Consider the following 13109-nt stretch of genomic DNA (forward strand, 5'->3'; position numbering starts at 1 on the left):
AAGGCTGCTGTGAGCTATGATTGTACCACTGCACTCCAGCCTGGCAGCAGAATGAGACCCTGTCTCTAAAAAACAAAAAACCCTCTAGGTTTGATAAATTAAAGTCAGAAAGATACAGCCAGTTGTCATTAGAGAGATAGTCTAATGGTTGTGTCAAGCTGGGTGAGAAAGTTTCTTAATATGGTTATAACAATAAAGTGTATGAAGTTGGAGAACCATTGTATTAAAGGTCTCAGTAGGCTTCAAAAGGAGAAAATGCTCTCAGTTCCCAATTTCTTCTGGAATACAGTCTAAGTTGTAGATATTTCTGTGAATAGATACTGGAATATAATTATTGAGAGAGTGTCACAGTAGTCATAAAGACGAGATTCCCATTACCATCCTAATATAATTTGATTCCAGTTTTTATTTTATATGCATGAAGTCAGTTTTCATTCATTTTGATTGTCTTCATTTCTTTGTATCTCTGCCATTAATGTGAAGGAAGGAAACAGAGATCCCTACTCTAATTCCCTCTGATTTTATCATTAATGTAGCTCTGGAAGACATTTAATGGATTAGATAGCCGGAAAAAAATGTCATTTATGTGCAACTAGTCATCAAATAATTATGCTGTCTAACTAAGATTCCACACTATACCCCCAGGACTCCCTGTTTACTAATCAACTCAGGTAGAATATGCATTCTGGTAAATTGAACATGGTGTAATGATGTGAAGCCATACTATCTGCTATTATGTTAAATATTTAAATATTAAATTTTAAAAGCACAATTTACATGTTATTCAAACAACTATGTTTTGCATATAGCAAAGCTTTTTGAAATGTATTCATGTATTTGAAAAGAGAAAACAGATTGCGAGTATTCAGTTAATAAATTCGTGTTTTTCACTAAATGCAAATATATATTATACCATTTTCTTATTTTCAAAACTATCTTGAAAATCTACATTTTGTAACTGGATTCTCTTGGAACCTAAGGAAACTAAGGCTTTTAAGAAAAATAAAATTATGCTAAGAAGTTTTATTGGAAGAACAAAGAATTTTATTATTATTATCTTGGACTAAAATGTTCTCATCCATTGGCTCTATAGTAACAGTAACAAGTGGAGCAAACAGTTTCATAAGTTTGGGCTAGAAAAGCCATGAATGAATAAGATTCCTGAGAGAGTTACAGGGGTTGGAAGAAAAGCTCCAGTTCAGTTTATTCCTAGAGAAAGATGACTATAATGAAACAAAATAAGAGAGAAAAAAATGCATGTAGCGTTTGTGTATATTTTGACCACGTTAATGCGCTATTTGTGATGCACTAATTTGCTGTCTAGCTCTTGTAATTAAAAAAGCAGAGGAAGTTTTTATGTTTAATATAAATAATTTGCTATTTTCATAGCATTTTTGCTTTGTTTGCAGTAATAAAACACACTAACCCTTCTTTTTCTAAATAATTGCACAGAATTTGCAGTCAAATGTGTTGGCCTAAGCAATATTTTGCCATTGAAGTACATTCTCTTTCCCTTCCAACATGTTATATCACAGGGGAATGGTAGAGCTGCAGTCTTTGCAGTTTAACCAGGACAGTTTCTGTGTGGTTTCACCTTTTTTTCTGAAGATTTCTCTTGACCTGAGCTTGTTGAATAATTTTCTGTAGAAAGTGTAAGAGAGTGTGTGTGTGTGTGTGTGTTTGGGTACACGTGTGCTTGTGTGTGTGCCTGTGAACATGTGTGTGTTTATATTGTATTTTAAGCAATGAAAATCTAAGCATTTTCATAGTATCATGAGTCGTTAGAGGAATGAAAATCAGTATTACTTCACATCCACCAGGATGGCTACAGTAAAAAAAGATGGATAAATACAAGCATTGTTGAGGATGTGGTGAAACTGGAACCCCTGTACAGTGCTGAAGGGAATGTAAAGGGTGTAGAAATTTGGAAAAAATTTCACAGTTACTCAGAAAGTTAAACATAAAGTCAACCATATGAGCCAGCAATTTCACTCTTATGTATATACCCCAGAGAACTGAAAACATGTTCATAAAAATTGTACATGAATGTTTATAGCAGCATTATTCATTAGAGTCAAAAAGTGGAAACAAATGTCCATCAGCTGATGAATGGATGAATAAAATGTGGTATATTCATACAATAAAATACTATTTGACCATAAAAAGAAACAAAGTATCGATAATTGCTACAACATGGATGAACTATGAAATCATTATGCTAAGGGAAATAAGCCAAATACAAAAGGCCATGTATTGTGTGACTTCATGTAGATGAAATGTCCAGAATGGGCAAATTCATGGGGACAGAAAGTATTAATAGATTAATTGTTGCCAGGCACTAGGTGGGAAGTGACTGACTGACTGCTAATGGGTATGGGGTCTCTCTTTGAAGTCATGGAAATTCTAGAATTAGATATGCACAACCTTGTGAATATACTAAAAAAAAACACTGAATTGTGCTCCTTAAGATTGAATTTTATGGTATGTGAGTTATATTTCGGCTTTTAAAGATGAATGCTAAATCCCATTTATACCTAGTGTTCCATTATTGGAATGCTAAGCTTGTGGGAGTTATTTATATCCTGCTGTTCAAGGTCATCGCCAAGGTCTGATTTTTCACACACAAAAAATTACAACCTCCAGCATAAATAGGTTAAGCATCTGGAAGGTCAGGTTTTAGCAAAGTACTGAGTTTGAGTGATAAGAAGCCTCTTGCCAAATGACTTGAACAAACCTAAATTTTCCCCTATTTCTTAGAACATACACTTCAAATATTCAAAACTGTTAAATGAAACTTACCAAAGGCATGAAAGTAGTGCTAATGATATAGCATTAATATATCTCAATTATATAGTGACAGACTTTTCTTGAATCTTAAAGAGGAAAAAACATACAATTTAAGAATATTTCAGTGAATAATTTTGGAATTTGTTATACTTTTAGTAATATGGAAGTCTCAATCTTCAGAACAGCATTTGATTACTCCCATTAAGACTCTGTAGTTCCTGTCTTTCTTGTGAAATTAATTTGGTTGGTAGCAGACACCAAATTGGGAATAGAATTTATAACTGGTATATATTCTTGCAATTTAATGGTCTCAATTCTTATTGAACATTTAAATCTGGAAATTGAGATATATACTGCCTTAGTAAATGATAATGATGAAATATTTTCTGCTTTGTAAGTAGAATTGAAAATCACTGAAATTAGTTTCTTTTCCCTTTTTACTCCTTTCTCTCCCCCTTGAGACACATTGGTTTCCCAAGTTATGAATTCAGTTTCTTTTGTTTGTTCTAGCTGCTTAGTCTTTCTTATTACATACCTGTTTAATTTTTAATTTCTCATTAAAAGTAAATATGGCTAATTTTCCTGTCAATATTTCAAGAAACCTTCCATTTCTCTCTGCCACAACCTTGATATAGTACTGTCTAGTCTGTATTATTACATAATTAAAATGCTATTTTTTGTCAAATAGTTCTGGCAAAGCAACTTATCAATACATTTTAAATGGATCAGAGATTTATTTCTATAATGTTGAGATTAACGTTATAAATACTGTTGTGGACCTAAAAATGCTAAGTGGAATAATATGTATAGTGCTATGGGAAAAGTTGTTACAATTTCAGGAAAAATACTTAAAGATGAATATGCCATAGGTATTCAGACCTTCTTAATCAGTTTCATTTATCATATAATGTAGACACATTTAAAAATACACTAATCTTGAGTCATTTGAGAAATACAATTGGCCCTCCACATACATGGATTCTGTATCCATGGATTCAGCCAACTACAGATTGAAAATTTTTGGCGGGAGTGGGGTGGGAAATGGATGATTGTGTCAGCACTGAACATGTACAGACTTTTTTTTCTTGTCATTATTCCCTAACAATACAATAAAACAACTATTTGCATAGCATTTACATTGTATTAGATATTATAAGTTACCTAGAGGTGATTTGAAGTATATGGGAGGGTGTTCATAGGTTGTATGCAAATACTACACTGTTTTATGTAAGGGACTTGAGCATCCATCGATTTTGGTATCTGTTGGAGGTCCTGGAACCAATCTTCCATGGATACCCAGGGATGAGTGCATTTACTAAGCATGGACCATATGCCAGTCACTGTGTATTTGTGGTGATCCTGTGGTAGCTCTGGGTGTTGTTGGTGATCAAAACGGAGAAGGTTATTCTTGCCCTTGGCCATTTATACTATAATCCTGGAGCTACTGATTTGGGAGCACCTGTGTGACTGGAGCATAGTGACTGATGCAGAGACGAGCTTGAGATGAGACCATAGTGGCGGGCAGGGAACTGGTGATATAAGCATACAGTTATGGGGAAGAGTTTGGACTTATTCTTGCTGTGATGACAAGCCATCAAAGGCTTACTACTGGGGAGTCCAGCTTCAGTTTTATACAAGATTACTCTAAGCAGTGGTGGAAAATAGTTAGTGGCTATCAGAGGAGAAGCAGAGAATTCAGTTGGTTGGATTTTATGGTAATCAGGCAAGCTGTGATGGTGACCCAGACTAGAGTAGTAGCCCTAGAGCTAGAAAGAAGTAGATTGATAAAAAAAAACTGTTTGGAAGAATTAATAAAACTTGATGGATAGGATTTGGGGGTAGCAGGGTGATAAGGTTAAGGTCAAAAGACATGTCAAGGATCTTTCTATGTCTTTGGCTTGAACAACTGGATAGATGGAAATCCCATGTCTTGAGGTGGGGTGCATGAGAGGAGGAGCTGATTTGGAAGGGACAGTCCAGTGTTCAGCTTGGGGCATGTTGAGTCTGGTGGGGAGGGTGTGTTTGTAAGGTAAGGGAGCACAGGGACTGGCCTTTCTTGAACTCTGGTAACTGGCTTGTGGTCTGGATACAAGTTAGAATAATACATAAACCATTTCCAAAACCCAACAGATTTTACAGGTTTTCAGTTCACAGATAAGTTGCTATAATTGATGTTGCCTCTGTGGTCTTTCAGATAGCACAGCACTCTAAAAATTTCTATGTATTTGATGGGCATGACATTAACAATATTCATTTTATAGTCAGTGCTCACTTATTGTGATCTGTCTTCCTTGGTGTTCCTAGAGCCGTGCCTCCCTGGCCCACAGCGTCAGGTTACAGATTTGATCTTTACATGGATCAGTTGGATTTTCTAAGTTGTCTTGTGACAGGTTGCATCCCTCACCTTGGATGGCTGACTTGGTAACTGATTAGGAAGGAAACTGCCCTAGAGTTGTTATGAACTAGGACTGATTGGTCTTTGCTACTACTTAAGACTCAAAACGTATGTTCTACCTACACTGGGACTCTAATGGCCTTTGTTTACAAAGGTGGAGCCCAAAAGACGGGCACTTCTCACATTGGCTATGGTTATATCTCCTTTCGCATTAAGTATACATTTACTGAGAAGCCAAGCCACACAATTTTACTTCTCTTTTGATTTCCTGTGGACAATATTTTTATTTCCTTCAACAAATAGAAGTAGGCCATTTAGAGGCTGGGAATATAAGTGTTTTGTTATTTGCTGTACCTCCAGTGCCTGGCACAGGGACTGGCATGCATATGGCACTTGATACATGTTTATTAAATACATGAGTGAAAGAAGGAATGGCTGAATCATCATTCTGTGAGAAAGGATAATTCAGTTTTCAGAAACCAAGACATCAGGCAAACTATATCTTCTTCTAAGATTACGTCCCTGAAACCTGAGAAATCAAAGCTGAAAAATAGAAATTTGGGCATCATCCTGATAAAAAGAATTACAAAAATCATTAAAGTGGAAGCCCTTGAGTGTGTGCAGGAGAGAGTAGGGATAGAGGAGAAGTGAACAGCAGAGAAACGGGTTGGAAGGAGGAGTGAAGCCTCAGGAGAGCAAGGTGTCCCACAGAAGCAGGAGCAGTCAACAGTGGAGAGCTGGGAGGTGCGAAGGGATGCAGACAGAAAGACACCTTTTCATCCAGCCAGAAGTAACTCAGGAAAGTGCAATCAGAGCCTGGGACACAGTGTGAAGTAAGACTGGGAATTCTGTCCTTTTATCTATATTCTTCATTACTAATGATTGTAATTGAGGGGCAAGTTTTTCTTGAGCAAAGATGTAGTTAGTTTTGATTTTCTGCTACATAAAGCCCAGCATCATAAGACACTGTTGGCAATGATATTGAAGGGTTTATTTTGTGATTTCTTGTAAGCTGATTATTTACTGATCAATGATCAAGGCCAGTTTTTCCATTGTTCCTGTTAAAGGTAATAATGTTTGATATATGTAACATAAATATTTCTGTGTGTGTGTGTGGGCACACGTGTGCACACATATTGATAAATTTAGGAGAATTACAAAAAAGTTACGGTAGGTAAAGAGTTGAAAGTTGACTTGAGTTCTAATGTGAAAAATATAGGCCATTTATCCAAAGTTATGTGGGAGCATTTCAGTTTAAATTTCATTAAATTCTCTAGTTCATAAGAATGCTACAGAGCTACAATAATAACAATATAGAAACGGGTTGTGCTAATACATGGGGTTTTGCCAATAATGTGTGTGTGCATGCACGTGTATGTATATGGCTAATTTTGTGTGTGTATGCATACACATATATATATACACATGCATAATTTTTTTCTGAACATTGTTTTGGTGTGATGTTGATAATAAGAATCCATATGGGGGCATAGGAGTACATTTGAGTCTTTTTAGGATGTTACCATTTGCAAAGGAATTAATTCTCACATAAGTAAGTTTACTTTATAGAAATGAAAGTAGTAGCTACTGTTTATTCTGCATCTCTTTTGTTCCAAGCATGTCACAGTAATCCTGGGAAGGAGGTTTTATGTTTCTTAAAGGGAGGAAATTGAAGTTCAGAAAGTTTAAATGATTTGCCCCAGGTCACAGAGCTAGAAGATAGGAGAATCCTGCCTTTTTTTTTTTTTTTTTTAACTCTAAAACTCATGCATTGTCCAGTGTGCAGTCCAAGTTAGAATCCTTAGGGTATTAGAGTGAGTTACCTGTTTGGTTGGGGGCCAATTAATCTCCACAGAGAAAGCAGAAACCATTAGATGAGAACTTTTTCAACATTTTGCCCCTAATAGCTACACCTGATTTTTCTTTTCTTTCTGTTAAGAGGAAAAGACTCTTCCCTCCAAGCACTTGATCCTTTTTATTTATCTCTTGCATCTTTAGTCTGTGTCTCTGCCTGCATCTCTTCCCTTACTAGCTTCTTCTCATGAGCATGAAACAGTCCCTCCCTGGCTTAGTCCGTTTAGGGTTGCTATAAATACCTGAGTCTGAGTAATTTATAAAGAAAAGAGGTCTATTTAGCTCACAGTTCTACTGGCTGTAAAGTTCAAGATTGAGCATCTGGTGGGGGCCTCAGGCCATTTCCATTTGCGGTGAAAGGTGAAGGGGAGCTAGCATGTGCAGAGATCATGTGATGAGAGAGGAAGCAAGGGAGTGGGGAGGTGCCAGTCTCTTTTAACAACCAGCACTGGCAGGAACTAATAAGAGTGAGAACTCACTCATCCCCTGACCCCAGGGAGGGCATTCATCTTTTCATGAGGGATATTCCCCCATGACCCAAACACCTCCCATTAGGCTCTACTTCCAATACTGGGGATCGGATTTCAACATGAGGCCGGGCCTAGTGGCTCATGCCTGTAATCCCAGCACTTTGGGAGGCTGAGGCAGACGGATCACCTGAGGTCAGGAGTTTGAGACCAGCCTGACCAACACGGTGACACCTAGTCTCTACTAAAAATAGCCAGGCATGGTGACACATGCCTGTAATCCCAGCTACTCAGGAGGCTGAGGCATAAGAATCATTTGCACCCAGGAGGTGGAGGTGGCAGTGAGCCAAGATCATGCCATTGCACTCCAGCCTGGGCTACAGAGTGAGATTCTGGCTCTAAATAAATAAATACATTCATTCATTCATTCAACATGAGGTTTTGGAGGGACAAACACCTAAACCACAGCACTCGCGAAAGGCAATACCTTCTGTATTAGTTAGTAGTTGTTGCATAACAAACCACTCCAAAGCTCAGTGAAGTAAACCAAGTACCATTTATTTAGCTCACTGTTTTGTGGGTCAGCAAATTAGGCTGGGCTCAGCGAGACTCACTTGTATACCTGTGGTCAGCTAGACAGCTTCACCTCTGGAGTAGTAGCTGACCAGTGGCAAGGACCTTCAGGGTGACTGGAGTGTGTGCCTCTCTTTCATTACCCAGCAGGCTGGCCTAAAGTTTTCACATGTTGTTTGAGAGGGTTTCAAGAGAGAGAAGCCTATAAATCATCTTGAGGTATAGGCTGGGAGCTTATGTAGTATCCCTTCCTCCACATTCTGTTAGCCAAAGCATGTCACAGTGCCAGCCCAGGTCCAGCGGGGTGGAGAAGCGGGCTAGTAAGCCATGGAACTTCTCATTGTCAACCCCAAATCACCCTTGAAGACCATAGTCAGATCACCACCTCAGGCTGTGTTGTGTGCCTGTGCTCTGGGTTCCCTCTCTCACTGCATTTAGAACATTATGTGGCCACTGTTGGTTTATTTCTTGGTGGAAAGTGAGCCTCTTAAAAACAAGGACTGTGTTTCAACCCAGGATTTGGCTTGTAGAGTAGGTAACGAAAAGCTGAAGTTGTTATGAAAGTAGAGTTCAGACCACTGATATCTGGCAGTGTGGAAATTGGGATTAAAGATAATGTATGCTCGTGTCTTAAAACTTGCTTGTTGATGTTTAAAAACTTTGGAGCAAACTCATTCTAACATATCAAAATCAAATATTTCTTTGAAAAAAATGGAGGGGATAAAGAATCCTGGCCAGGATTCTGAGTAGAAATCATTTAATACTTGCACACTATCTTTGTAGGTTTTTCATGAGGTTACATGTTTGTTTGGGAAGTGAAGTTAATTTCGTGGTGTGTTTGTCAGAGAAAAACATACCTGTCCATTAACTGATTCATTGGGATTTGGGATAACATTTCTATTCTAGAATGTAAAATGAAGGAAGGGTGTCAGTCAGCATCCTCGATATTACTCTTGAAGATGTCGAACATAAATATTTCTGTTAGAATGAGAAGTAGCATTTGCCTCATGGGAGTTTGTCTTGAAGCGAGTATGTCTTATATATGTACTAATTCTTAATTGATGGTTTTTCACATGCATTTTGTGTTTTAGGTTCAGCCGTCTGTATATCTCCCCAGATACCTGAAACTGACCACCTGAGTACGTTTTCCCATTGCTGAGCTGTTTCCCTGATATCTGGCCATGCAACGGAGATCAAGAGGGATAAATACTGGACTTATTCTACTCCTTTCTCAAATCTTCCATGTTGGGATCAACAATATTCCACCTGTCACCCTAGCAACTTTGGCCCTCAACATCTGGTTCTTCTTGAACCCTCAGAAGCCACTGTATAGCTCCTGCCTTAGTGTGGAGAAGTGTTACCAGCAAAAAGACTGGCAGCGTTTACTGCTCTCTCCCCTTCACCATGCTGATGATTGGCATTTGTATTTCAATATGGCATCCATGCTCTGGAAAGGAATAAATCTAGAAAGAAGACTGGGAAGTAGATGGTTTGCCTATGTTATCACCGCATTTTCTGTACTTACTGGAGTGGTATACCTGCTCTTGCAATTTGCTGTTGCCGAATTTATGGATGAACCTGACTTCAAAAGGAGCTGTGCTGTAGGTTTCTCAGGTAAGGGAGACAAAATTTTGAGGTTGCATGCATAAAGGAAGCAAGGGAGGTGTGGCTGCTGTCATTTTATGAAGTGTGGGTCCCTATCAAATTCTGAGTGGTTAAGGGCTGCTGAGGCTTTGCGTCTTGAAGAGGAGGCTGGAGCATGCAGGGACTAGTTTTTGCCATTCTACATTATGCTGCATTATTCACTCTTAGTCTGCACTAGGACCTGCTGGAAGGTGGTTTTGTAGAAGACATAGTATTGGAAATATGCACCAGCTCCTTATGGTAGGGTCACAGAAAGACCCACAGATGTATTTGTAATAGGGAGTTCTCAAAAAAGATGACTGTGCTTGTGAAGTAGGCTCAGTGTGCTGTCTCTGATTACCAACTTGTCTGCACCTGGTGAGACAGAGCACACTCATCTGCAACAAGTTACATGAGGCAGATTTAGTATTTACAGTTAGGCAGCAAGGGAAAACAGGAGCCTAGGATTCATCGTGAGCCCATCTTCAAGGCTCAAAAAGCTGCCTAGGGCTGTTGGAGTCTTCACTGTGTGTGTTCCTTGCATGCAAATAAGGAACCCCAAAGAGGCAGCCAGGTACAAACCTAGGAATCACATGAATCACTGGGCAAAGCTTTGAAAGACATCCTATTCGGGAGAGGATTAGGCTGTTTCAGCCAGCCCCCTTTTATCTCAGGGTGTTGGATTTCCAGCACATTTCCATAGTTATTCTTGAGAACTACAAGCGAGAAAGGAGGGGGAGAACTACATAGGTCCAAGGCCACCTGGAGAACTGTCCTGCGATGCCTCTGGATGACTTCGTTAATAAATGGACCACACCCTGCTATGGCATGCTGGCCATGTTTTAGGAGCCATGATAATCACTCTGCATAACCTAACCAATTTAATTTATGCAGCAGATCCACATGGAGATGGGATTATCTTTATTTTATTTTATTATTTATTTATTTTTTTTGAGACGGAGTCTCGCTCTGGCACCAGGCCTGAAGGGCAGTGGCGTGATCTCGGCTCACTGCAACCTCCGCCTCCCAGGTTCAAGCGATTCTCCTGCCACAGCCTCCCGAGTAGCTGGGACTACAAGGCACGCACCACCATGCCCAGCTAATTTTTGTATTTTTAGTACAGATGGGGTTTCACCATGCTGGCCAGGATGGTCTCTATCTCTTGACCTTGTGATTCACCCACCTTGGCCTCCCAAAGTGCTGGGATTACAGGCGTGAGCCACTGTGCCCGGCCTTGATTTTATTTTACTTTTTTTATTTGTAGTTTTTTTTCTGACCACCTGCTGACTGTTGAGGGATTGTCTTGATTTTATAGATGAGGAAGCCAAGACCCAGAGAAGTGAGGTTACTAGCACAAGGTTACCCAGCTCGGAAGCGATGGAGCTGGGACTTGAGCCCAGTCTACAGATTAGCTGTGTGATGCATTGTCTCTCACTTTCTTCCTCACTAGTTCCTTTTTACAGATATTTCATGGGACCAAAATTGCCAGCAGGATTTAAATTAGGCGTTCTAAATATTAGAATGTGAAGGGGAGGAGAGAGGTAGTCCTGAAACAAGGAAATCTAATCCTTCCTTCTGCTTTTCCTGACATCCTTCCCCTTTCCTTCCAAGATGTATCCTTATGCATCTAATTGTGGGAGAAGAAAGAATATATGCCCTGTCTTCAACATGTTTTTCCATAGAGGTTAGAAAAATACATATTACTGGTATTTTTATTGAGTTAAAATTTATATAGCATAACTATTTTGTAGTGCACAGTTCACTGGCGTTTAATACTAATAATAGTATTTTATTCACATGGTAGGTATTATGTATTTAGTAGCATACTGAACACCAATATGAACTTCTATATTTAGAAACATCAAAGGAGTGACTGCCTTTAACGTTGTCTTTTTACCAAATGCAAGGTTGTAAGGAATAGGGTATGTTTTAAAGCACAAAGTTGGATGTAATCGAATAATCATTTTCACTTTTAATTAACTTTCTTTGTAAATGTTGATACTCCTACTTTTGGATTGTTGATATTTGCATGTTCTTCATTCTCTTTTAGGAGTTTTGTTTGCTTTGAAAGTTCTTAACAACCATTATTGCCCTGGAGGCTTTGTCAACATTTTGGGCTTTCCTGTACCGAACAGATTTGCTTGTTGGGTCGAACTTGTGGCTATTCATTTATTCTCACCAGGGTAAGTGTTTTCTTTTGGGGAATACAGTTGAAGGACCTGATGTTCTGTGGAGAAAAAAATTGCAATAATAATGAGGTAACCAATTGTTTTTCACAGTGAGGTTTATTCTTTATCTATTAGGACAGAATCAAGCTTAATAGTTTTAATGTCAGATATTTCTGGGTTTGAATCTTTTCAACTATTAAGCTGTATAATTTTGGGTCACTTGTCTTAACTGAGTTGCAGATTCCTCATTTTTTTTAAGTAGGAGAACCTGCTATACTGATCTGAGGATCAATATTAACCAGCCAATCAGCTGGTTAATTCTGAAAGCAAGATTCCAAAGAAGCACATAGAAACCACGTAACTATAAAGATTAAAAAGCTATAAGGTATGTTGATCTAATGCTTTTTATTATTATTATTATTCTTTTTTTTTTGAGATGGAGTCTCGCTCTGTTACCCAGGTTGGAGTGCAGTGGCGTGATCTCAGCTCACTGCAACCTCCACCCCCTGGGTTCAAGCAATTCTCCTGCCTCAGCCTCCCAAGTAGCTGGGATTACAGGCGTGTGCCACCACACCTGGCTAATTTTTATATTTTTAGTAGAGTTGGGGTTTCACCATGTTGGCCAGGATGGTCTCGATCTCTTGACCTTGTGATCTGCCGGCCTTGGCCTCCCAAAGTGCTGGGATTACAGGCATGAGCCACCGCACCCGGCCGATCTAATGCTTTTAAGCCATTTTAGCTGTCAATTGTCTTGGTAGTAGAACTTTTTAAACAAAAGGCTTTACTTAACACTCAAAATGTGAAATGGATCAGCTCTGAAGTCTTTTGGGTTGAGAAGTGGAATGGGGCCCCTTTCACCTTACTCCCATGTTGCTGTGGCTTCCTCAGAGGAGGCACCTCCACAAAACCCTAGAGCTCCAGGAAGTACAGTTTCAGAACTGCTGATTTAGATGAATTTTTTCCCTTACAGAGAAGGACTTGGAAATTCGGAAGGTTAAGAGACTTATCAACAAACAGTTTGTGGTAGACACCAGCCTTGTGAGGATTCAGGCCCCCTGACTCCTGTCTGGGGCTCCTGCCCATTCATGCTGCACTTTCTTCCTTTGGTTCTTTTCTCTGCTTTTTGTTTAGAAAAAGGAAGATAAGTTGTGTTATTTTTTCCACCTCTTCCACCAGCTTCACTTTCCTTAATCTGTCTTGTGCAACTGGAAATGCATAATGTTTGTTTTTACTGTGGGACTG

At 39.1% G+C, this 13109-nt stretch overlaps 1 protein-coding gene across 39 annotated transcripts in view; it reads left to right on the forward strand.

The window, feature by feature from the left end:
• RHBDD1 (rhomboid domain containing 1) overlaps positions 1-13109 on the forward strand; it is a 199052-nt gene that overhangs the window by 55278 nt on the left and 130665 nt on the right. For 38 of the 39 annotated variants that reach the window (XR_007082541.1, NM_001349069.2, XM_047445998.1 and 35 more), the window contains 2 exons: positions 9168-9690; positions 11750-11882. Coding sequence is in view for 38 of the 39 variants with exons in the window: in NM_001349069.2 (NP_001335998.1) it covers positions 9258-9690; positions 11750-11882 (566 nt within the window). In the remaining variant the exon portion in view is untranslated. The remainder of the gene's footprint in view (positions 1-9167; positions 9691-11749; positions 11883-13109) is intronic. The other variant, NM_001349071.2, reaches the window with a different exon arrangement.

This window comes from Homo sapiens, chromosome 2, assembly GCF_000001405.40.
Source record: "Homo sapiens chromosome 2, GRCh38.p14 Primary Assembly".
NCBI lineage: Eukaryota > Metazoa > Chordata > Mammalia > Primates > Hominidae > Homo > Homo sapiens.